The sequence below is a fragment of the Homo sapiens genome, chromosome 8 (genome assembly GCF_000001405.40).
Source record: "Homo sapiens chromosome 8, GRCh38.p14 Primary Assembly".
Taxonomy (NCBI): domain Eukaryota; kingdom Metazoa; phylum Chordata; class Mammalia; order Primates; family Hominidae; genus Homo; species Homo sapiens.
The window spans coordinates 91,016,194-91,042,610 of NC_000008.11; the positions used below are offsets into that span (position 1 = coordinate 91,016,194).

A 26,417-nucleotide genomic window follows, 5' to 3' on the forward strand; every position below is an offset into this window, starting at 1 on the left:
AGGCTCCTAGAAATTAAAAATTAAGTTAGATCATCTGAAATTAAAATTTTAAATTAAGATGAGGAGATATAATGAAGTTTCCCACTAAATAATATGAAAAAACAAAATTAAAAACCAAAAAAATGGAATGGACAATAACAGGGCCCACTGAATATCCAAATGATGAGTTCAAAAAGACCCTCACGAAGACATAGACTCATGAAATTTCAGAACACTGAAGAAAATGAAAGAGGAAAAAGAAAAAGAAGAAAAAATATGTCATATCAAAAGGATCAGGTATCACAATAGCTGTTGATCTTCTCATCAACAATGGAACAAAGACTTTAAATTTCTGAAAGGTGACAACTGGCAACCTAGAATTGCACATCTAGACAAATTATAAAGTGAATGTAAGATCAGATTAAAAACCACTTAAGAGAAAAAGAGCTCAAATATAATATTTCCCTGCATCTTTTCTCAGAAAGCAAAGAGTAGATGTGCTCCACCAAAATGAAGGAATAAACTAAGAACTCTGAGGATGGCATGGGATCCAACACAGGAAAGAGGTAAAAGGAATTTTCATGATGATGGTGAAGGGAAGGATGACAACTATGTAGCAGGAAGCCTAAATAAGAGATTCCTTGATGCAATTAATTATAGTAATAGGTATTTTATAGTTCTACACAAGAATATGAGAAGAATGAATGATTTACACATAGAAAATTAAATCCAAAGGAGGGGGCAATTATTTGTAAGTCCAAGAAAATGTTAAAATGCATGCACAAGAAAAATGTACCACATTGCTTGGTTCAGCTGTGAACAAAATTTACCTAATCATAAAAATTGTAAACACTAAGTATTAATTAAACAAAATGTTGCAATTTGACTGGGAGTATGAAAGCAAGGAAAGGAATATGAGTGGGAGGGCAGTATAAGTGCTAAGTTCTCATTTTGCAGTTTACTATTTAGTGGGTAATGTCTAAAATTGCTTAATCAAATAGAAAAAGGATAAGCAATTTAAACACATAGAAGTCTGGCCAACATTATGTAACCCCATCTGTACTAAAAATACAAAAATTAGCCAGGTGTGGTGGTGTGCACCTATAATCCCAGCTACTTGGGAGGCTGTGGCAGGAGAATTGCTTGAACCCGGGAGGCAGGGGTTGCAGTGAGCTGAGATCACGCCACTGTACTCCAGCCTGGGCGACGGAGTGAGACTTCATCTCAAAAAATAAATGAATAAATAAATAAAAATTTAAAAATTATAAAAAATAAACACATAGAAGTGACTATCAATAAAGTAGCTGAAAGAGTTGAAAGCATTTTGGGAACAGTAACTAGGGGTCAGCTAGATGAGAAGATTGCAGTCCCATTTGACATTTAGAACTATATACATAAAGTTCTTTAATAAAAGTAAAATTACAAATAAAAAAAAGCAAACCACTTATATTTTCTTAAGCTCATTCATGTCTTAGTGACAGCAGGTTTTGTTTAGACTCCCATGTGTATACTCTGATAAATATTTTTCATATTCAAGTTCTAAAGAAAATGTTTGTCTCCTATATGGGCTGAACAATAAAAGAAAACCTGTCCTTATCCTTCCTGACAGGGTAAGTTAATTATGAATTTAACTTTAAAAAAAATCAAACTAAGTTTAAGTTAGAAGTAGTAAAACAAAAACTTTTATAACTTTTGCTCATATCAAATTACTTATACTTTCTTATTCTTTATCTAATGGTTTTATCTAATTATGGGTAACAGTGTTAATTCCCTTTGCTCCAAGAATAATTTATAAAAGTCAGAAAATTTTTGATAAATTATTATTCAAATTTTTCCTCAATCTAGAAGCCATGAAGCAAATCTACTGCATGAGATTGTGCACTTTGACCTCTGCTGAGCAGGTGAGAGCAGGGCTAAGACTCAGCTGCTCCCCAAGCCAAGATACTCATGGAACTAAGCCTGGGCACGATTTCTCATTGGCCTACATAGAGAGGATCCTTTTTGCAACTGGACTTATCAGAGGACGTACCTTTTATCTAGTTCACAGAAGATGCTCTATATCCTAGTTGCACTTCTGATTGTCTGCCTAAATAAGTCTCTATTTTAATATTTTGATTAATTTGCATTTGGACAAAACTATAAGACTATGAGCAGTGCTCTAATCTGTAAGATCATGACCTATATTTACAGATTAATGACAAATGTCCAGTGACTTACCAGGAATGTGTTTCCACAGTGCCCACACACGACCCTTGTACCTTCTGGTTGGATTGGCAATGCAGGCTGAGCTGGTTGTTCTTCAGAAATAAGCATTACTGGGCCAAGGTTAATTATCCGTCTACTGTGAAAAGAGAAAGGAAACAACTTCACTATCCCACAAATGGACTGAGAGCAAAACCTGCAACATATGGCCAAAAATATGAAATGTGCTATACTTGTTTCATAAATTAAGTGAATTAAATGTCAAGCTGGAGGCAAAACTACAAAGAGTAGCAACAGTCAGTTTTTCAAAAGCAAAATATGAGTCTGTACTTGGGATAGAAACAATATATTATAGCATTGGTCCTAATCAATGGCAACCATTTAACTGTCATTTCCAAGTTTTTGTAAGTTCAAATCAGAAAACAGTTGTTACCCTTCCTTATCTAGGAAGCCAACTTGAGTTTGGTAGAAGACTAAGTTAAAAATATTCTATACCAACAAAAATCTCTGTGCCATGAAGGCACCGAAGGGCTGGGTTACAACCAAATTTCTCTGAGCAGTGTGATATTCCTTGATGCGTATTTAATCAGAGATGAAAAGAAAGCAAACAGGATCCTGCTTTCATTTCTATTCTCTAGTCTATCATTGGATAGGGCTGTACATGATTCATGTAATGGTCAAAAAGCTAGAGAGATCACAGAAAAAAAACACAAGTAAGGCCTTTATATACTTGTATCTGGGGACATCCATAATGGTACTGGGCATGAGCGAATAATTCCAGAATTTATTGCACATATACATTCAGCAGAGATTAGTATAATATACAGTGAGATACACAAAAATAACTAAAACACTTGCAGGTGAAGATTAATTATATCAAAAGTAAACTAAGTGATTACTTTTTTTTTTTTAAGAGATGGGCCAGGCATGGTGGCTCATGCCTGTAATCCCAGCACTTTGGGATCACTTGAACCCAGGAGTTCAAGACAGCCCGGGCAATATGGTGAAACCCTGTCTCTACAAAAAAAAAAAAAAAAAAAAAAAAAAAAATATATTACCTGGGAGTGGTGGTGTGTGCTTGTAGTCCCAGCTACTCAGGAGGAGGCTATAGTGGGAAGGCTTTCAGGGCAGAAGGTAGAGGTCACAGTGAGCCAACTCTTTTGAGACTCTTCCCGTTGAGACTCTGTCTCAAAAAAAAAAAAAAAGAGAGAGACTAACAGATGGGGTCTCACTCTGTTGCCCAGGCTGGAGTGCAGAGGCACAGTCATAGCTCATTGAAGGCTTTAATCCCTAGGCCCAAATGATACTCCTGCCTCAGTCTCCCAAGTAACTGGGAATATAGGTGCATGCTGTCACACCTGGCTAATTTTTTGTAGAGATGGGGTCTCACTATGTTGCTCAGTTTGGTCTCAAACTACCAGCTTCAGGCAATCCTCCCACCTCAGCCTCCCAAATTGCTAGGAATACAGGCATGAACCACTGGCCTGACCTCATTATTTTTAAATACGTTCAATGTGTCATTGATTTATTACAGTGCATTAAGTACTTACATAACACAAAGAAAACATTCATTGCTCATTTAAGAATATTATATCCTACAAATATCTATGACTAAGTTCAAACTAAGCTTATCATTCCTTTAACAAAAAAATAATCTAGATTCTGGAATGACTTTGAAAACAAAAACTCTTTCTAGAACAAAGCCTGGCACTGAAGAACCTTTAGTAAATACTTGTTGAATGAACAAATGAATGAATCAATGAATTAATCTTTATCTCTTACCAGTTGGGTCTTGGGCATCCTATTCGCCGAGATGTGTCCTTACAAATGAGAAGACAATTACAAGGGCATCTAACATATTTCTTGCCTGTTGGGGGGTTTTTGATTGGCTGGATAAGGGAAGAAAATGCAAACACAGCAATTAACCAAAGTACAGATTGTCAAAGTTTGTTTGTGTTTAAAAAGGAAAGGATTCCATTAAAACTAATGAAATATATTGCTTTTGTAACTTAAGGTTTTATTTTATGATTTTTCTATAAAACATATGAAGTCAAGTATTCATGTTTTGTGGTCCTTCAAGACACAATAATCACTGGCTGACTTTTTTTAGTCTTTTCTAAAGAGAAAAAAATAAAACATCAAAGATAAAATTAATATTTAATTGCAGATTTTGAGAGATCAAAATGTAATATATAAAGCCTAACTATGAAAGAAATATATTTCATCTAAACCAGTGTATGCTTTACCAGTTTATTACTTGAAGCTATAAAAATACTGCTGAAAATTTAGTTGCTCCCCAAAGCTCAATTTTTAAAAAAGGAAAGGTGTTATTCAATATTTTAAACATTCCTAAATTACTATCAACTAAATTGAATAAAATGTCAAACTATTTGTAAACACTTTGGCACAGATGCTAATAATAAATGCATAATCACAAAAGCCCAGAAAAACAATAGTGACATCCTACAGACATAAAATAACTTCAAATAATTTTCCACATAAATAGGGCAAAGTTTACATCTGTAATGAAGTTTAGTACACAATATTTTCATTTTAATGAAAACAAGAATGAATGTAGTTGTGATGTGGATAGATATTGAAAGTATTTATACGTAACTGCCATGCTCAGTCTAGTTTTTGAAAGTAAAAAGCCAAAAGGCATTATATTTAAATTCACCATGAAATTCTCTTAATGGGGTTAGCTTTAAACACAGTGAGGTATCCTATGATGAAAGAGAGACAGAAGAAAAGACAGGAAAAAAGATTACCATATTTGTATCCAGCCCACATATACTTTTAAGTAACATTATTGAAGTACTTCCTTTAGGAATAAAATGTCAAATAACAATTTATATTTTTTCTAATGGAAATCTCCACTTACCGTAGCTTCATTGCAAACTGTGCACTTAACCACATGCTGGTGAAGCTTGCCATCCAAATTGATTAGTGATTGGCACACACGGCAGTTTATTACTGGAATACCACTGGCGTCTGGACTGGCAATGGCTGTATATGGAGGTGGGAGCTCCGCTGAAAAGATATTAGTCACTGAATCAGAGTCTTGGAGAAATTACTATGGCTGGTTTGAGTATAGAGGCAATATAAGTAAAGAAGAAACAATCAAGATTTTCCCACGTTCTTTTATTTATTTTTCAAAGCTAGCCAATTTATCTTACTTTTAGAGCACAAACATCCATGAGACTCTTATCAAGTAAAATAATTCTTAACTCTGATAAAATCTAAATCATGTTTGCCTAGGTCTATCCCAATAACCCAGTTTCCTTTTACTAATCTATACTCAAAATGTCACTCCATTCCTATTAGTAAATTCATACAGTCTCTAACAGGAGAGTGGTAATTTATGCCTACAATAAAAATTTTACACAAGTGATCTGATTCCCAGGAAATAAAAATGGTCGATGAAAGCAAAGTTTTAAAATTGCTTATCCATACATATAAATTATGTAGCTGTCATGCTCTGTCTTTATATTGGAACCAGTATAATGACTGCTGGCTATGACAAGAATAAAACAAGGTGTTGGAGGAAGTCAAGAAGAAACAAAAATGAACCTAAGAAAACTAAACTTCTCAGCATGGAACAAAAATGGGAACCATGCTAATTTCAGACACAAAACAAAAATAAAGTAAATATAACAATTTTTAGTCTCAAAATTTACCTACCATTAAAAATGTAAGAAATGCACCAAAGTGTTTATGAGTAAAAAAATGTAGTATGTGGGATTAAAAACTTCAAAAACCATAACAACAACCACCACAAAAAGAATGGGGAACCAGATGAAACAAGTAGCAAAATGTTGATAACTGATGAATATAATGACATGGAAGGTCATAGTTTCACACTACTTTTGTGTATGTTTGAAAATTCCCATAATACAAAGACACACACACAGTGTTTTTTTTGAGAGTCCTAAGGTTGACTCAGTGAGTGAGTGAAGGGTGGAGGCCCACTTTCAAAATCAAGTATCTACCAGAAGTGTATATTTGTTACAAAAGTCTGAGAAAAGGAATCCTGATATACTACTCTGGAATGGGATTTCTAAAGGAGACTGCCTAACCCCTTTCTGTAACTATCTCAACTACAGGAATAGAAGACTTTTCCAAGGTAAAGTTTTGTCTTGGGACATTTAGAAAGGGCCACACTCTAACATATGATTGAAGCACGAAAGAGAACTGGTATCTCAAGAGGCTTCTGTAACACTATAAAATATAATCACAATAGCTAAGCATAATAAGAGCTATTTTTGAAATAAAGGTTTTCTATCCACTGTATTAGGTCCTAAACTTTGTGATATTTTAAAAAGAATTAGAGCATAAAACATTTTGGTATGTTTAAAATACACATATTTCTACCTGATCCTTGGGTTATAATATAGGATTTTTTTCAGACTGCTAAGGATTAGCAACAAGTGGTATTCGTTCAAATGATTCATAAGACAAATTTCTGCAGCAGCCAAGGCTCTGAAAGAGGCCACTTTGAAATGACGATATGCTTATGTTTCTGGGAGGCTTATAACAGAACACTGCCAAACACTGAAATTCAAAAGAAGCTGTACATGTCTTAAATTATAAAAATAATTTTAAATCCATGAAAAGAATTTGAGCGTGATCCAGAGTGACCTGTAATGTATTAATCAAGAAGAAAAAAACATGTTAAAGAAACAATGAGTCAACAATATACTTAAGGTCTTGCAATTTGCAGATTACTTTGTCAGATCTCAATAAAGACATTATTCTTGGGGAAAGAATATGTACCTCACTAGAAATTCAAGACACACTGCCTGGTATATGATAATGAATATTATTTTAATAATTATTTGCAGTAGCATTATTAACAAAAGTTGCTTCCTCTCTGGCCTTTTCCTTGAGTTGTACAGTAACATTACATAGTTCTCTCGTAATCCCAGGTCTCTATCTTACACAGTATGATAGAAAGGAAACTTAAATGCAAGACAGTTTTATAAAGAAAACAAGGGCATTAGGGGGAGAGGAGGAAGTGACATATTGCTACACTACATAAAAGGACACCAACCCATACACTCCTCAGCTTTGCTCAAAGAAATCTCCTAAGAAAATTTCAGAGGGTGATCTTAACAATCATTAAAAGGGCATTAGAGCCAGTAAAACCCTGTGAATTTTTCTTCTAAGATTTGTACTATATAATTTTTAATCTGCCAAAAAAAAAACGCCTTCAATGACAGAAATATGCTCAAATCTACTCTTTTGGAGGCTTGGGAAGTGGAGGGACATGGACAGAACAAGCAGTGAAGATTATAAATCTAATATAAGAGAGACCATAAGCTCCACGAGGCCAGGGGCACATCTGGTTTGTCCACAGCTACTTCACCAGCGCTTGTCATAATGCCTGGTCTATGATGATGCTTACTAAATGTTTATTCAATGGTTGAATTAATTAATAAATCAGCGAGTCACTAAAATTTATTAGACATATCTATTTGTCTTGGAAAAATAACACCAAGTATTAGGTTGCTGCAAAAGTAACTGCGGTTTTTGCTACGACTTTCAAATAGCAAAAACCGCAATTACTTTTGCACCAACCTAATACATTAACCCTACTCTCCTTGCAGAGGAGCTAAGGTTCTAGCAGGGGAGTGCAGCTTGATGGAAAACAAGGGCTTCTTTTATATAGAAGACAACTCTCTCCAAATAATGCACTGAGAGAGGTGAAGTAGTCAGGGGACACTGGCCTGGCCCACCAGATAAATGGAATCAATCCAAGAGATCAATAGAATGACAGATGCTGCAGCCTAATTGCCACAATAAACAGTGCTTCCTGGCCTTTCATTTCAATGTTCTATCCATTACTTCAGCCTTAAACTGATTTAGACAGATTATTTCTTGTACTTTTGGCCTTTCCCTTTCTCTCAGATTTTACCTCAAGGAAACATTTACTTGTAGCTCCATCTCCTCTTATATGGGACTTGTAATTCTGGAGATTCCACAGTTAGTAAACCTACAATAATTAGAATAAGATTATTAATTTAAATGATTAATAATTGGATTATTATAGATTAAACCTATAATAATTAAATTAACTTAGATTTATTCATTTTGTCTCTTTTCACTTTGGCATAATCATAGCTCAATACAGTCTTGAACTCCTGGGCTTAAGTGATCTTCTCACCTCAGCTTCCTCGGTAGCTGGGAATACAGGCATGCACCACCATGCCTATATTTTCACTTTAAAACAACCGATCACCAGTATCCTACCTATTTTAAATTTCTGCACTACATTTAAAAAGTCCACTGTAATCTCAGAACTTAGGATCATTAGATGTTGAAAGTCACAAAAATTCCTCATTTTGGAAAAGTCTTACTTGTTATCTAAACAATGGTCATTTTTCTCCATGGGGTTTTTCTAAATTAAAAAGCTTTTTTCCTCCATGTGAGCAGTATTTGTTAGGCCAGTAGTCCTTAATCCTAAAAAAAAACTCCCTCAAAGCTCCAGAATAGAACAATGTTAGAAATTCAAACAATCTTTGGAATTATGAAGTCTAATTTCTTTATTTTACAAAGGAGAAAACAAACCCAGAAATTCTGACTTTTTAAGGGTTATACACAACTTCAGCAAAGCCAAGAGCTGACTCCTGTTCTGGAGATCGCTCCACAATAACAGCTGTCTCCTTTAATAAATAATGACTTAATACAGGGAAAATATTTAAGGACCAATGGGGGGATTTTTCTAGGAACAAGCAAACATCTGATAATGTAGATTTCTGGAGAATGAAATCTTGGTTAAAGAGAATTAAGAGGAAGAGGAGAAGGAAGAATCGGGGTGGGGGGGAATTAGAATATATTTTAAAAAGAAGAATCATTTCACAGTAAAAACTTCAGAGAAAAACGGACTCATAAAAGGGAGAGAATGATAGTTTATGGATCACAAGGCATACATAATGATCTTTCTAAAACACTCAAAAGGAAGCATTATATCCTGTAAACCCACAAGTGATCAGATTACATTTCTCATCACATTTACCTAATTTATCTATTTTATGCCAAACAGCCCCTCTGTCTTGCTAATTCATCCTGGTGTATTAATCCATATTTCATCTTTTCTCAGATATATCCTCCAGTATTTTAAAGATTTAAATTGTTTTGTTGGATTGCTCTGACCTTTATTATCTCAATTATTCCTTTATACGTCTCCTCAATGACAATATTTGGCAGTTTAATTCACTTACTACATTAGCATCCTCTATATGCAGCCCTTCAGGCTCTTGACAAAGATGTTATATCAAAACTGAAAATGACGTCAGCTTAAAATGAGAGATATTTTACGATTATAAGAGGAGCAAGAAAAGTATAAAAGAGCAGCCTTTGAGGAAAGCCTGGCTTTTTTCTCCTCTAATTTTCATTGCAAGTATTCATTTTCCCTAGTATCTTTGTGCAGAATGTAGGTTAGGGACAGACTTAGCTTGGCCACTATGGGTTAGCTGCTTTTAGTGTCACACTTCTCCAGTTCAGTTCAATACAGAGCAAACGAAGACCACTTTCTGCTCCTCCCCACCTTTGAAACCAAAGAAAACTATTTTAGGAGACTCAAGTTCTCCCAGAACAATGACATTCTTGGAAAAATTCATCTGGCTGAAGACAGGTTGAAAAGGAAATATGCTAGTTATCAGGTTACTGACCCTCAGTTCCAAATCCACCTTTACTCTCTTTCGTGATGCTGGAGCAGGAACTCTGCAAACCACATTTTGGTTTTGTCAGCCGGCTCCAGGATATGTTCTTAATAGGAGGTGATATTGGGAGGCTGCAAGGCTGGAGGAGAAATAAGGGACTTATTCCTTCTATTTGTTACCTGTTTGCTCCCAATCTGCTTGCTGTTTCTCTGAACATCACCCTAGGAGTATTACTTCACCCTGGCAGTGGTAGTTCTTTCCCCTGGGAACACTGAAGTCAGTTTATAGTTTTCAACATTCGCCAGAACCAGCTTCCTTGTGTAGACCCCCACACCAAATAGCCAGTGCTCCTTCCCAAGGAAGGAGTTCAGAGAGTTTCTCTAGAGTTCAGAGACACCAGCACAAGCTAGCCAGTGCTTCTTCAGAAGTCATATTTCAGTTCTGCAGGACCCCTCCTCTAAGTTACTAGGTTTTAGTAAGTCCAATCTCTTCCCTTTTTTCCCGTAGCCCTAGTGGTGGCAGTTGCTTCTTGCTACCTCCTTGATACCTTAGAGTAATATGTTTACCTTACAGTTACCTAGTTAGTAACTTTATACTTGGTTAATGATTCTTTATATTAAACTCCATTTTGTGGTTTCTATCTTCTGACCAATCCTGACTGATATAGAAATTCATATCAGAAGTGATCTCAGGAAACAATTCCTCAAAGATGGAATTGGAGAAGTGGTTTGGTGAACTTGAGCTTAAATGCTATGCCAAACTCCTTACCAATGGGAAATGGGATGGTAGTAATCTGTGACACATGGTGCCATCCTGATGAATCAGATTATCCCCAGTAGTTGATTGTGATGTTTGTGGCTCCTTCACTTGAGCATTATGGTAGTAATAATTATTATATGGACTATGATGTGGATGGATCCTTATGAATGCATTGGGCCTCTACAGACAGAAAATGAGAAGCTCCGGTCTTTAAATTCTCAGCTCAAGTCATGGTTAGAGAACCAGGGAATGTCTATCTTAACCTTAAAAGTATCACTTATTTCTAATAAACAAAGAATTTATTGCTGGAAATCAAACAGAAATATTAATTGTGCAAATTGCAAAATTATAACATCAAGTAATTCCACAGCCTTACTAGGTAAATCCACAGCCTTATCAAGTTTCTCATTGAAAGTTGGGGCATTGATTGCAAATAAGTGGAACTCTAAAACTTGGAATGAGACCAACTGATTGTACCCAAACAGAGCTGAAAATGTTAAACTCCTGAGTCACTCTGAACCTCCACTGCAAGTGGAAAATATCTTTCCTTCTTGTACCTAAGCCTTCCCTTGCTGGAAAACTCTGTAATGCCCTTGCCTGAGGCAGTTGCCTTACAAGGGGATGACCATTCTTCTTAAAATCCACCATCAAGCCCTTTGTCTCAAGATCCATAACTAAGGTCAAATCTCAACATGTTTCAGAAGGGCAAATACAAAGTCTAATTCAGTAAGAGGCAGCTTCTACATAAAATAATTGCAACATTTTGATAATATGTATTTCCAGAAACCTGGAGAGTACTTGTGAAGTGGATCCTAAGGGTGTTAAACCAAAGAGAATAAAACACAATAATGAATTTAGCGAGATTTTCTGGATTCAATCTTTGTTTTAAAGCTAGAAGTAGCTTTAAACATTTAGTTAATTGGTTGATGAAGACTTGGTCTTACATTTAGTGAGGCTGAGATGCTAGAATATCCCTAGAATAATGCAGAAAACGCAATCAAAGGTATACAGAGTTAGGAATGTTGAAGTGGATTTATCATATGAAACCTGCATATTCATACCTCACTACCTCCCCTGGGAAGGGCCAGAGCATACTCCCTTCACTAAGGCATCAATAAATACATTATTTAGAGGAGCACATGCATCCTGCTGTGGTTTCCCTCCAATGCAGACCAGACATTACAGTATGAGATGACTCCATTGAGATGTGCTGCCTGATTTCAATGAGGATGATGAAATCCTGGAGTAACAGGCCAAATAGCAGCAATTAAACACTGAATACAGGTGGGTGCATTTATTGCAAGAAGAAGTAGTGGATATTACAATATTTTGAGCCACAGGACTTTTGGCAGTGGCTAATTGAAATTAGCCTAGGATTGAAATGGATGGGTTACCTGCAAAGATGTTGCTTGGTTGTATATCTTAGAAAAAACTCTAAGTATTTTAACCAGCAACCCAACTTTGGTAGCCACAAGAAAGAGAGAGTCACAATCTTTCAACCAGTTTCCAACAAAAGTAGGTTCAACGTGTACTGTAAATCTTCCTTCAAACTTTCTGCAAAGAGACCTGAGGCTATTTACAAGGCTATTTACAAGACTGTGTACTGGGGAAAAGAGAATACCCAGATGGTTCAGGAATTACTAGAAACTGGTGGTTAAACAGTGCTAATTCCAGAGGGACTCAAAGCGGCTATCAAGTGATAGATGATGTCTTAGCCCAGATCCAACTCACAGTGGTCCCAGTAGATATGGGGATCCACTCTGAGGTTATTTTATTAGTTATGAATATACAATTGGAACAAATATTCTTGGCAACCAGTAAAATTGCCAACTTTGTTCCCTGGCCCATAGGTTAATATAGGAATGGCCAAGTGGCAGTCCCCGGAACTGATACCAAAAGCAACACCACATCCCTGGGGAAATTTCAGAGATTGGTGCCACTAGGAAAGACCTGTTAAGATGCAAGGATGGTGATACCCATCACATCTTCATTCCACTTGCTTATTATCTAAATTTGACGGCTGCTTCATAACTGAAGTGATGTGATAAGGCCGCTGTATGAGCTCTAGTGCCAGAGAAAGTCAAGAGTCTTTAGAATCAATATTTATTTTTTTAGGTAGGTGTTGAGAGAATATCCAGTGAATAAATCCCTTAAATTCTACTGTTTATCTGTAGCCCATGGATTAATCGAATTTTATTTTAAAATACAGAAATTATGGCTGGGCACAGTGGCTCATGCCTATAATCCCAGCACTTTGGGAGACCAAGGTGGACAGATCAAGAGGTCAGCAGTTAGAGACCAGCTTGGCCAACATCATGAAACCCCGTCTCTATTAAAAATACAAAAATTAGCCAGGAGTGATGGTGCACACCTGCAATCCTAGCGACTCGGGAGGCTGAGGCAGGAGAATCACTTGAACCCCGGAGGCGGAAGTTGCAGTGAGCCAAGATCGTGCTATTGCACTCCAGCCTGGGCTACAGAGTGAGACTCTGTCTCAAAAAAAGAAAAAAAAAAAGAAATTACTAAAGAAATCTAGGAATTAAACCATTAAAATGGCACCCCCACTGTAGCAAGCAGGGGTTACAGCCATGGAGTTCTTCCCTTTGTCATGTGGATGTTTCTAATGAGGACAAAGATCTGACCACATGCTCTGCTGGATCACTTCTGTCTTTTGTTCCCACATTCCTCCAGCAACCTGTAAAACTTTCAGTTCCTAAGTGACTTCATCATCACCATCATGACATCCTTCCTTATTTTCTCAGGCTATCATTCATTCATACAATCAATATTTGTTAAGTGCCTAAATGTAGAAGTTCATAGGCAAGGGACTATAGTAGAGCTCCCTGATGAGACAGGAATCCTGTCTCCCTCCTTGTCTCTCCTTATGGGATCATATGCATAGATAAGTATTAAGATATGTAGTGCAAATGCTTTGGGAGACCGAGGCAGGCAGATCACGAGGTCAGGAGATCGAGACCATCCTGGCTAACACGGTGAAATCCCATCTCTAAAAATACAAAGAATTAGCCGGGCGTGGTGGCGGGCGCCTGTAGTTCCAGCTACTCGGGAGGCTGAGGTAGGAGAATGGCGTGAACCTGGGAGGCAGAGCTTGCAGTGAGCCGAGATCGTGCCACTGAACTCCAGCCTGGGCGACAGAGCGAGACTCCGTCTCAAAAAAACAAAAACAAAAACAAAAAGATATATAGTACAAATATGAGGTATTGTTTTGGGAACATATATATTCCAGCAACAGAAATTAGAAAAGACTGCATGAAAGAAAGGAGCCTCAGCAAATGTGTAGAATTTAAATGTTACAATTTTAAGAATCCCTTTCCTACTCATCTACCTATAGGAAGAAAAAGTAGATCTCATTTGTGCCATTGCACAACAGACTGGGCGACAGAGCAAGACTCCATCTCAAAAAAAAAAAAAAAAAAGTAGATCTCATTTGGAAAAGACTATAAATGGCTAATAAGTGTATGAGGCAATGAGTATGGTCTTAGGGAAAAGTGTATAGATAGTAATAGATCTTCCATCTCAAAACAGGATTCTTCCTATTAATATCTTTATAGGCTGGAGTAATCAAGCAGGATGAAATAACATATGCAACTGCAAGGACCTATACAGAGATGTGGGGACACAGCCTAAAAAAATGGCTTTGTTAACATGTTTGAGGTACTAATCCAAGACAAACTTCACAAATACCAATAATATAATGTAGCCAAAGTTTAATGTATTTATTACATATTAAATTTTTATTAGTAATATATTGGCATGGCTCAAAAATGAAAATCATGTAAAAAGGCATATGCTCAGAATTGTTACTCCAACCCTTATGCCCATTCGCCAAGTCTTACTTCAGAGATTTCCACTTATGTTATTATTATGTATCCTTTAAGTATTCCTTGAGTGTAGCACAGGTAATATACACATATACATATTCTCATTTATTCCATCATTCTTACAAAAGAGAGTATGACTTATAAACTATTCTTCATCTCATTGTTTTTTCATTTTACAGTGTATCTTTCCATAACTGTATATAGAGTTTAATAATTTCTTTTCCAGCATCATGTTGTTTCATTCTATGGATATGACATGGCTTATTATGGTGGTTTTACAAAAAAGCCACAACTTCTTTGGCACTGCTCCCATTGAGAGGTAAGGTCTTGAATCTGGGTATTTGTAACTGCTTTGACAAATAGAGGATGGCAGAAATGACATTATATTTGACTTTTGAAGCTGGGTCATAAAAGACCACATGGCTTCCACTTAGGTCATCTTGTATTCAGGCATGTCTGATAGTTTTAATAATGACCTATGTCCTCATTAAGGGATGGTAGCAAATCCAAATACGACTTTTGCTGAGCCTGGCAAGGTATTTTATATAGAGAACTAGAACATGACAACCAAATTCTATAAACTTGGAAAATGCTTTTGTTACAAAACTTTAAAATAACTTTATATTAGTTTGTAAAATCCATACAGCTAATAGAAATCAATGTTTATTTGGATATGTCCAATGGTCTAAAAGGTGTCTGAAAATCTCACTTTAAGTCTACTCACTATCATTTCTCTATATTGTTTCTCCTCTGGATTGTCAGTCTTAGCACTTAATCTCTCAAACAATAAAATGTCATATTGTAACATGCCGTCTTCCAAATTCTCCCCCTGTGGAAATCACATGTTAAAAATGTCAAAAAATTCGGGGCTTTCTTGTACACTGTTTTAAAATCCTTACTACAGATTGACCAAGCCTAAATATCTCAATATGAGAGGAAGAAAAATTTTGCCATTGCCTTTAGAAGTAAATGCTTAGAATAAAATGCCCTAATCAATCATGCAGCACACACATGCAAATATATTCTACAGAGAAATAAAACAGTGCATGCTAGTTGGGCTTCTAATTTTTACAAGAGTCATGTAACATCCTTAATCTTCAATATATTATCTTTCTCATTTCTAAAAGCATACTGGAAGGAATAGCTATTTAGGTGAAAGAGGGACATTGGAAGTAAAAGAGTGAGATAAGAAAGGATAACAAGCATCTACATTTTAAATTTATAGATATATTTTCCTAAGTGTGTCCAGCTTCCTAAGAACAACTGTGTCATAAAATATAAAAGCCAAAGGTAAATTTATAGATATATTTTCCTAAGTGTGTCCAGCTTCCTAAGAACAACTGTGTCATAAAATATAAAAGCCAAAGGAAACATAATGCACCACTCCTTGGATAAATGTGGGAAACTGAGGCCCTGAGATGTAAAGTAACGATTCCAAGGCCAAACAGGTAGTAACTGGCGGAGATAAAAAGCCTCAGGTCTCCCAAGCCAAACACTACCTGGTGGCAGACCTTCTCTGGACTCTAAAGGGAGTTAGTTACACAATACTTGCACAATGCACCTGAAGTCCAGAAAAAGGAACCATGCTTTTTGCTTTTTTCACATTTGGTTGTTGTGGTTTTTACAGAAGAAAAGGAACTCACTTTACAACAGCAACTGGAAAAGAAAAAATCTAGAAAAGTTCAAAAGCAACATAAACTCCTTTGCACACCCCCATTACCACCAAAAATTTTTCTAAAAAAGCATAGAAACCCTCATAAAATAACAGAAACAGCAGGAAGAATGTATTCCTTTTCAGGAGCTACTATGGAATGCCATTCCCAATTTATTGAATACCTCTTACTCATTAAAAATGAAGCACAGGCCAGGCGCGGTGGCTCATGCCTGTAATCCAAGCACTTTGGGAGGCCAAGGTGGGTGGATCATTTGAGGTCAGGAGCTCGAGACCAGCCTGGCCAACATGGTGAAACCCCACCTCTCCTAAAAATACAAAAATTAGTCAAGTGTGGTGGCAGGCACCTGCAGTCTCATCTACTTGGGAGGCTGAGGAAGGAGAATTGCTTGAACCTAGGAGGTAGGGGTTGCAGTGAGCCGAGATCATGCCACTGCACTCCAGCCTGGGCAACAGAGTGAGAGTCTGTCTCAAAAAAAAAAAAAAAAAAAAAGAAAGAAACACAAAACACCTGAGCACAAGGTGTATTCAGGGTTACCTGCTTTTCCCAAATGGAAGTATTACAGTTTCCATTTAGATCACTTCCCAGATAGCTGTTTATTGCCCTCAAAGATAGTTATGAACATCCCTCCTGTTAACTTTCTTCTCCAATATCTATATCCATCTAGCTAACATTTGTATGCATTTGGCAAACCTTCCAAAATTTTAACAGAATGCTCTACCCTACAAGTTTTACATTCTTGAAGAGTCTGCATAGTCCTTGGAAACAAACAGGAAATTGAGAGCATCGTCTCCCTCTCCAGGAAAATGCTACTGTACATTTAATAAATAATTGTTGAATGAAATTTGCTCTCCAACCCCAAGTTTTCTCAGACCTCAGATTTGTACAACAAACTGCCTAATTCACATTTCTAATTGAATAACTAAAGGTATTGCAAACTCCACATGACTGAAACAGAATAGTGACTTCCACTGTTCTTCTCCCACCTCCCAAACACATGGCCAACTCTTCCTCCTGTTTGCCTATCTCAGATATAACCTTGTACCTACTTAGTTGGGTCATTTTTGGAGATTTGTGATTCCTTTCTTTTCACTGACTCAACCCATCAGCAAGTCCTGTTTAAAATACATCCTGACACCAACCACACCTCAGTGCTTCTGTCACCTGTACCCTGGTCCCCTGTTGCCTCTTCTGCTCTAACAGCATCCTGATTAGTGTCATGTCTCATTAGTCTGTTCTCCTCCACATGCCAACCAAGGGTGATTTTTTTAAAAAGTAAAGTGTTTTCATGTCTCTCCTTTGCTCCAACCTCTCCATAGCTTCTCATTATCCTCAGGACATAATCCCTTCTTCAGCAGGTGGAATAGAAATCTCCCCTGGGCTTCCCTCATTTACACCTCGCACCTCCTCTACCTCTTCTGCTGTCCTCTAAGTCACCATGCTCTAACCCACTGTCCCTTGTTTTTGTTTATTTATTTATTTATTTTTGAGACAGAGTCTCACTCTGTTGCGCAGGCTGGAGTACAATGGCACAATCGCAGCTCACTGCAGCCTCAAGCTCCTGGGCTCAAGAGATCCTCCAGCATCAGGCTCATGAGTAGCTGGGACTACAGGCATGAGCCGCAGTGCCCAGCCTCCTCCTTGTTTTTAAAATAGCAAGTGTTATACTTGCTGTTCCCGTTGCCTGGAGCACTCTTTCAGTAAATCTTCCAAAGGCTGATCCAACTCATGTTTCAGGTCTCTCGGTGATTGCTATCTCTGAGTTGTCTTTCCTGGACGCTCATCTCAAACATTTGCCATCCAAACAGTTACTCTCCACCCTCACAGGTTGCTTTATTTTCTTCACCCTCTGAAATTATAACGCTTACTGTATGTATCTCTCACAGGAATGTAAGCTCTCCAGCATCTGGAATACTGTAATAGGCATTCAAATATTTGAAAGGATGACTGAATGAAACATTTCTTAATATTTTAAAGATGCTCAGTATAGACAGAAGGAAATGTGGGCATTATAAAACAGAATATAAGAATCCTGGAGCCTGATGCCTACAGAATAATGACAAAAAGACTACAACAGCAAATGAGCTCACCACCATACTGGAAAGCTAGAAGCCGATCTATTTCACCAATGTGTGGGCTCTATTTTTCCTTGAAGAGGATGTGGCCTCAGTGAAGCAAATTTTGATTCAAGAACCATTTTGAAAAAAATTCCCTTAAATGGAGCATTAGCATTAGCATAGCACAATAGGCTTCTCATATTTGCCAAGGCCCTGCTTGCTCAGTATCACAGCAGGTGAACACTCTACTGGGGCTTGGGGGAGCTTCAGGAAGCTGCTCTCAAATATCCTGCATCCTTTTCTCCTCATTGTGACAATCTGGCTTCCAGTGGGTTTCCGAATCCTTGGCAAGTAAAGTGAGAATTTAATCTAGTCTTACAATGGGTTGTGCATGTGGTAAGAGTCCCTGGATCTGTGTCATCTCTTCCTGCCAATCCACAGACAACCTTATACTCTGCAAGTACGCAGGGAGACTCAGCAATTTAAAAGACTGCCAAAATGTATTCAATCTCTTTAATTCAGTAAAAGTCTAGCCTAGTGTAGAACATAGTTAAAAATGAACTAAGACCTTACCTAACTTTAAACTAAGACACTATCTCTAACCTTAGATTTCTCCAGGTATAGGACATGAGAGTCACTAAAAATAAACCTATTTACTGTAGGATTTCTAAGAAAGCATAAGAGTACATATTAAATGATATGTCTCAAAACCAGGAGTCAATTTATTTTATTTTTCTACTCACTGAAAACATTTTCTCAAGCAATTTCAAGATTACATGTTTTTTAAAGGTGAAAAGGATATGGCAATGTCTTCTAAAACACAATTATGACAATTACGCTTCATAGAAAACCTAAATGAGCTTCAGAGTAAAGGAATATTAACCTTTTCATTTATGTTAAGCTGCTTTGAGGTCAGTTTACAATTAAAATAAAGGTACATTGGAATATTACATTAGATGGAAATAGATAATTCTTCAATTCTTTAAAAAGAGCTTGAATATAAACAAATATAAACAACTGTCACTAAAGTCCCTAATGATCTCCATGACACTAACTTCAAAAGACATTTTTGGTCCTTACCATCTTTGCTCTTTCTTAAACTTTTGCATGAAGACTCCTTTCTTGAAGTATTTTCTTGCTCTTGACTCTGTGATATTATCATCTCCTGGTTTTTGTCACCTTGCCGGCAGCTACATTCACCTTCCTCTCCCTAGTCATTAAATGTGAAGGTTTTTCAAAGCTTTGTCCAGGCTTTCTCCTTTTCTTAGATTACTCTTTCTCCCTAGGTTATCTCATATGGAGCGCCTCAAAGTTTTTCACACTGTGGTACACAGAGAAAATGACAATATGTGTATGACATCTTAGAACTGGAGGTCGCTGGGCCTGGTGTGGTGGCTCATGCCTGTAATCCTGGCACTTTGGGAGGCCAAGGCAGGCAAATTGCTTGAGCCCAGGAGTTTGACACCAGCCTGGGCAAGCTGGTGAAACCTCATCTCTATAAAAAATACAACAAAATTAGACGAGTGTGGTGGCTACTCAGGAGACTGAGGTGGGAGGATTAGTTGGGCCTGAGAGGTCAAGACTGCAGTGAGCTATGAGTATACCACTGCACTCCGGCCTGAGCAACAGAGTAAGAACCTGTCTCAAGAAAAAAAAAACAAAACCAAAAAAACTGGAGGCCTCTGGCCTGAAGGCTTTAATCACTACCTTAGCACATGTATGTTCCATCACAGCACATCTTATGGTAGGGCCCTGGGAAGTTCTGAATCAACATCCATGTATTTAGCTATCACCAATATGCAAATAACACACAATTTTATATATTCAGCCCAGGCCCCGTTTCTTAGTCCTAAGAAACGAGGACTAAGAAGAGATATGACAACCGGATCTACACTACAGGTCCCATTTTGCCAGAAATGGGATCTGTAGATCCAATTGTCACATCTCTTCTTGGATATTTGAAAGCATCTGAAATACATCATGTCTAAAACTAAGTTCATTATCCGTGTTCCCCAAAACTCGGTCCTCTTCTGGTGTTCTCCGTCTTCTGGTGTTCTGGTAATCACACCATGACGTTGCATAGCCAGAATTCTAGGAGATACCCTTGACACTTCTCCCTCACTTCCATGTGCAATCCATCATCAAGCCCTGTTCAATCCACCTCCTTAACATCATCCTTCATCTCTCCATCTCTACCACCACCTGAGTCCAAGCTACTGAAATAGTTCAGTTAAATTGCCCGAATTATTACAATAATCAAGGAAGTCATCTATTCTTGTCTACTCTAGCCAATCCTCTAATTCATTCTCTAATCTATAGAGTGGTTTAAAAACTAATAATAAAGATTTAATCCAGTCATCCCTTTGCTTATGGCAATATTCCTTAACATGACCAACAATATCCTGGATGGGCTGATTCATATTCATTATTCTGGTCATCTGTTGCTGCAGAACAAGTTGGCCACATGTGGTTGTAGTAAGAATTTGGCTAAGGCTGGAGTCATGTGAAGGCTCAATTGAGCTTGGCATCCAAGATGGCATCTCCCTTCACATGTCTGAGGGCTGGTCAGGCATCTTTCTCTCTACCAGGCTAGTTTCAGGTTCCATAAAGCATGGCAGTCTCAGAGTGTTCCACTTCTTACATGACAAGTTACTTTCCCCAGAGTGTACTTTACAAAAGACCAAGATAAAAGCTGTAAAACCTCTTCTGACCTACCCTCCAAAGTCATTCAGCATATTTTCTACCTTATTCTAGAGGTCAAAATCAAGTCATGGCATCAGCCCAGATTCAAGGGGAGGAAACTGAATATCAGAAGACATAGTTCTTTGAAGGGGAAAGAGAGTCTTCGGAGAATATCCACCATACCTATCTCTCCAGTCCCATTTTGCAGTGCATTTCCTACTGCTGTTTCCATTTTAGCCACGTTGGCCTTCCTTAAGTTCCTTGTATTTGTCATACTCCACCCTGCTGATCACTTTGCCAATACTGCTTTCTTTGCCTATAATGGTCTTCCAGTCCACCTTTTGCCAAGTTAACTCTTGCTCAACTTTCAGATCTCATTCAAGCATCAAGAAAGCCTTCCCCGACTCCCTCAACAAAATTAAATCTTAATTTATACTCTCAAGGTATTGCATATATTTCCAGCACTGTCTTCATCACCATTGCATTTTGCATCTGTTTGTGTGATTACATAATTTATTTCTCAATACCCCCACTACACTGGAAGAGGAGCCATGACTATTTTTCTTCTCCTACCACAGATTTGGCTGGTACTCAAATATTTATTTGCTGAATAATAAACTAAGTAAATCAAACTGTCTGCCTCTGTATAACAAATTATTATTTTCCCTTTATGAATTATAGTGAAGTATATAATCCCATTTCCATATTGAATACATAATGAGACAACCCCAGATATAAACAATTTTCACAGAAAAAATCTTATAAATTCAAAGGTCATATTCTTTTGTTATATCCTAACTACAAAATTAGCAGATGTATAAAGGAATCAATTAATACATCAAAACTGTGTAAATTTTGTGGTATTTCTTCCAATCTCCTTTCAGATGAGCCTAAAACTCTCTTTAATTTTAATTTCTATACCTAAACAAAAACTGGCAAGTATATTAAACGAAGCACTGCAAGCAGGAGAGAAGCAATTTCCTATGCATGAATCCAATACTGACAGTAGAGAACACTAGACATGCTCCACTTAGAAACCAACATGGATTGTTACACAGACCACACATGATTTTTCTTGTGCTAAAACCAAACACACAATACTAACTGCTCCCTGCTACATTATTAATAATCTGTCTAGAAATAAACACTCCACCGACTTTCAACCTGAAATGGACTATTTCATCTTGGAGGTGGGAACTAACATTCCTGTACTTTAGAAGGTAAAAGAAAGAGAAAGGGGTCAGATTGGAGAAAATATTCACTAGTTATAGCTTTTAACTTCTTTTTTTAAAAAAATAAAAGTCTGAATAATTGTAAATGGGATCATTAACTAAAATTCATTATCAGAAAGTGCATTCTGTTTCTGATTGAATTCCAACTGTCAACCCTAACGGTTTTCAACTACCAAAAACATCTGATCTAGTGATAGAATTTTTTTTACAATCTGAAATAATTCAGCCATGTATTTATTTATTCTTTCTCCCTAATACAATATAGTCTTCATGAGGGTATGGGATTGATCACTCTTGTTCCCCTAGAGCAGTGTATGGCACATTGTGCTTCCCAATAAATTAATAAATGAATGAATAGTGGTGGTCTTCCAGATCTTGTGTATTACTCATAATATTTATTACAATGTTTGTTACTTATGAAGAAAAATATTCTGTCAAAATGCAAATAAAATGCTTTTACCTCTCATTTATGCTTCTTCCTTAGTAGGTGTTATGTCATATGAAATTAAGAGTTTCTCTAATCATCTAACCTGTCTCATTCACCAATTAAGAAAAAATGTATTCTACCATAAGGCAGAAGCAGCTTTTTGCTAAGTCATTGAATTTCTCTGGTTGTTAAAAGTTTTCTACAATGACACTACTTTTTCTCAGTGGCTGAACTGGAACTTATACTTGTGTAGTTTGAGGAATCTTATTAGGTTAAACAAATATATGGAAAATAATAAAGATGTCTATAAGCTGATCCCTGAGTGTAGCCATTTTTAAAAAATAACTTATCCACTAGTTGAGGGCATGAAAATAGGTTATAGGACAAATACTTAAATTGAAACTTTGTCTCCTAATAAACCGCCAAACATTTTGCCATAAAAGGCTGACTTGATGAAGTTGAAACATTCATTAGTGAGTGTTTAAGTCTATTCTACATAATACGATTTAGATAACAGTAAAATATTCATATCAAATTGGCCCATTAGAGGAAATTCTCTTGCCTGGTGTCCTCTGATACAAGTTTAATGCTGACCAACAAAAATGACCTGTAGGTTTTCTGTGGGCAAGTCTCTCTCTGTGCCTTATTTCTCAAGCCATGGCTCACACTGAATTATTTACAGCTAAGCATCTTTTTCCTTTGTTTTTCTTCTTGTTAAGTATGGATTAAGATCTAGATAGTTTATTTTGAAGTTACAAAATGTTAAATAGAAATTTTAAATACTAAGCAAGTTCAACCTGCTCTACATCAGCTCTAATTCCAGACTTGAACTTAAAAACTTGTATTACAAGAAACATTACCTACTTATATTTTCAAAATCATTAACTTTTGCTTCCTTGGGTTTTTAAACTTTGCTCATATTTAGCCAAAAAAAGAGAGAGATGCACTTAAGGAACATTTGCAAGTGCCATTTTGACCAATCTTTTCACTAACCTAAGTGGGTTTTTTTAAGTCTTGCCTTCCATTTTCTTGTAACGCCTGACTCCACCTTATTTATTTACTATAGTAATCAACTAAAAGGCTTAGAACAACGATCGATTTTTAAATAAATCGAATAGTATGGTAAATAGATTCCATATTTCTCCAGATCCCATTGCATTTAATCTTTTTTTATTCTTCTTGAGAAAAAAATAGAAATATATGTATTATTAATTTGGGTTACTTTTTACAAGTTAATTTCAATCTCACCCAGATATGTGTTAAAAATATCCCATCTTCCCTTCTATGAGAAGTAAGGTCCTTCCTTCTCATTCACAATTAAATCTAACACATACTCCTTGAAAGTAGGAGTAAAAAGGAGGGGCAGGAATTTCAGACATATTAGGAATATTGATTAACTGTATTCATTTTGGATATGGCAATTCACTGAGTGAACAGAGCACTGTTGGGTGAATGGTAGCAGAAGCATATTGTTCAAGCTAAAGCCCTTTCAAGGACAGATGCCAAGGTGAGCAATACTCCTGGTTTCTCAGCAACGGAAAAAGATTTGTGAATGATTGTGAAAGATTTGCACCACCTCCTAGCTGCGCTTAGGGGCTGTTCTGAAAACAGCTAAGCAGAGCTTGGGAAATTCATGTCACATACTGTAGCCCTGGGTAAGAAGTGGTGAAATACACACACACACCATCACCACCACCACCACCACCACCATCACCACCACCACCACCACCACCATCACCACCACCACCAGAAAAACCCTGCGGAGAAGCTATCAGGCAGGCGGGCTTGCCTGGGAAGGCACAGTCAGCATCCTTCCTCAGCCCAAGCGAGAGGCTCACCTCCACCTCCAAGCTAGAGCTCCCAGGTCTTTATCCTTCTGGGCGTTTCCTTGCAAATCTACTTCCTTGCAAAGTAGAGGGATCTACGCTGGCCTTACCTCTGGGGCTGCTTTCTTGCAAGTACGGTGGGGCGGTGGGAGTGACATTTCCGGAGTGGGATGCTGACAGCAGAGGCGAGCGTTCGTCCACCCCATCAGCAGCCATGACTGCGGCAGCGGCGGGGCCTGGGGAGGCCGAGCCGGGGTTGCGGCCTCGGCGGAGTGGTGGCTACTGCTGCTGCCTCTGCTGCCGCTGCTGCCGCTGCAGCTGCTGCTGCTGCCGCCTCCGGGAGGGCCCGGGATGTGTCACAAGGCAGGAAGCGGGGGGAGGGGAGGGGAGGGTGCAGGACCAGGAGGCGGGGGAAGGGAAGCGCGCTGGGAGGCATGGCTGGGGGAGGGGAGGGGAGGGAGAAAGAAAGAACCCGCAGAGTGGGAGGAGCAGCAGTGGAGGAGCGGGAGCCCAGCCAGCCAGAGAAAAGGGGAACAAATTAGGACCAACTGGGAAACGCGAGGAAAAGAAGATGCCAAGTAACTGAAAGGGGGTCGAGAGTAAATGGGATGGAGGGGGACAAGTCCTTTGCTCTAGGAAAGACGGATAAAAAGCAGCCTGAAAGGGGCTAGCGAAGAGGAAAGGCCTGTGACTTGATTACAAGAAAACTGGAGCAAAAGCAGATTATCAAGTTTATCTCCCCTAAGGAGGAGGAGGGACTGACTCTTTGCTGTCAAACTTTGCAGCAGTTATATAAAGAAAACATCTTCCTGGGGTTATCAATTCCTCTAGGGTTTTTTTGTGGGAAATCAGTTTTCAACATCTGTTATCTAAGAGAAAGTAGATCTTTGCGGAAGTGTCAGCATTCCCTACTTTTCCTGATTGATTTTTTTTAACAACAGGAATGTTGGCCTGACCGGTTTGGAACTCTGGTAACAGTACCTTTTTGGAACTATGCAGTGTGTTGCCTTTTACAAGTTTCATTTTACAAAATAGGTTGTCATCTTAGTTTTGGTTTTGTAGCCTATTGTCCCTGACACATATACAGTAAGTAGGTTTATGAATAACGTCAAACAACGAAAAACAAGTTTCTTGAGACAAAAGTTTTAAAATAATCGTTTACTTGTAAAACAGAGTTAAAACACAAAAAACCCTAAGCACTGACAAAGATTCTTTGCTTGGTCAAACAAGTAAGGTTTCTGAATCTTATGCTGGGCCCATCTGCACTTCCTTATAAAATCCAGTTTTAGCAAAGAACCCTACTAACTTAATTTAGCAAGAAGCCCCATTCTCAATATTGATATTTGATCAGGTTCCTCATCCTCCAGCATCCCCCATGTGAGGCCTGAACTCCTGTTCTGTCTTCAGCAAGAATCCCGTTTGCTTGGTTTAGTCAGAATCCCCCTTATCCCTGATATTTCCTTGGTAATTTTCCATCTACTGCCCCTGTCCTGCATGCTCCTAGGCTATAAATTCCCACTTGTCCATGCTGCATTCAGAATTGAGCCTAATCTCTTCTTCAACATGGCAAGACCCTGCTGCCATGGTCCCTATACCTATCACTATAGCCCTAAATACAGTCTTCCTTACCATGCTTTGACAAGAATCACTGAATAACTTTTTTCTTTAAAAACACAGTTCTTGCCATGTTTTATATGTTTTTCTTTTCTTTTTTATTTGGTGGTTTGTCATATTATCCAAAAGTAGTTTACATGAATATGAAAACAAATTAAAGTTTTGAGGCCAGGCGTGGTGGCTCACGCCTGTAATCCCAGCACTTTGGGAGTCCAAGGCAGGCAGATCACCTGAGGTCAGGAGTTCGAGATCAGCCTAACCAACATGGAGAAACCCCATCTCTACTAAAAATACAAAATTAGCGAGGCGTGCTGGCGCATGCCTGTAATCCCAGCTACTCGGGAGGCCGAGGCAGGAGAATCACTTGAATCCGGGAGGCAGAGGTAGAGGTGAGCTGAGATCGTGCCGTTGCACTCCAGCCTGGGCAACAAGAGTGAAACTCCGTCTCAAAAAAAAAAAAATA

General features: G+C 37.8%; 1 protein-coding gene across 1 annotated transcript in view, besides 1 other annotated feature; it reads right to left on the reverse strand.

Moving 5' to 3' along the window:
* PIP4P2 (phosphatidylinositol-4,5-bisphosphate 4-phosphatase 2) overlaps positions 1-24,666 on the reverse strand; it is a 47,058-nt gene extending 22,392 nt beyond the window's left edge. The window contains exons 1-4 of the mRNA NM_018710.3: positions 24,451-24,666; positions 5,063-5,211; positions 3,964-4,070; positions 2,197-2,320 (exon numbers count right to left, since the gene is read on the reverse strand). Of these exons, the coding sequence (NP_061180.1) occupies positions 2,197-2,320; positions 3,964-4,070; positions 5,063-5,211; positions 24,451-24,556 (486 nt within the window). The 5' untranslated portion in view covers positions 24,557-24,666. The remainder of the gene's footprint in view (positions 1-2,196; positions 2,321-3,963; positions 4,071-5,062; positions 5,212-24,450) is intronic.
* Positions 24,688-24,887: a silencer, noted in NCBI's record as "silent region_19355". NCBI's record gives its function as "represses an Ori minimal core promoter by ATAC-STARR-seq in GM12878 lymphoblastoid cells {active_cell/tissue: GM12878}" and the evidence as "EXISTENCE:reporter gene assay evidence [ECO:0000049][PMID:35858748]".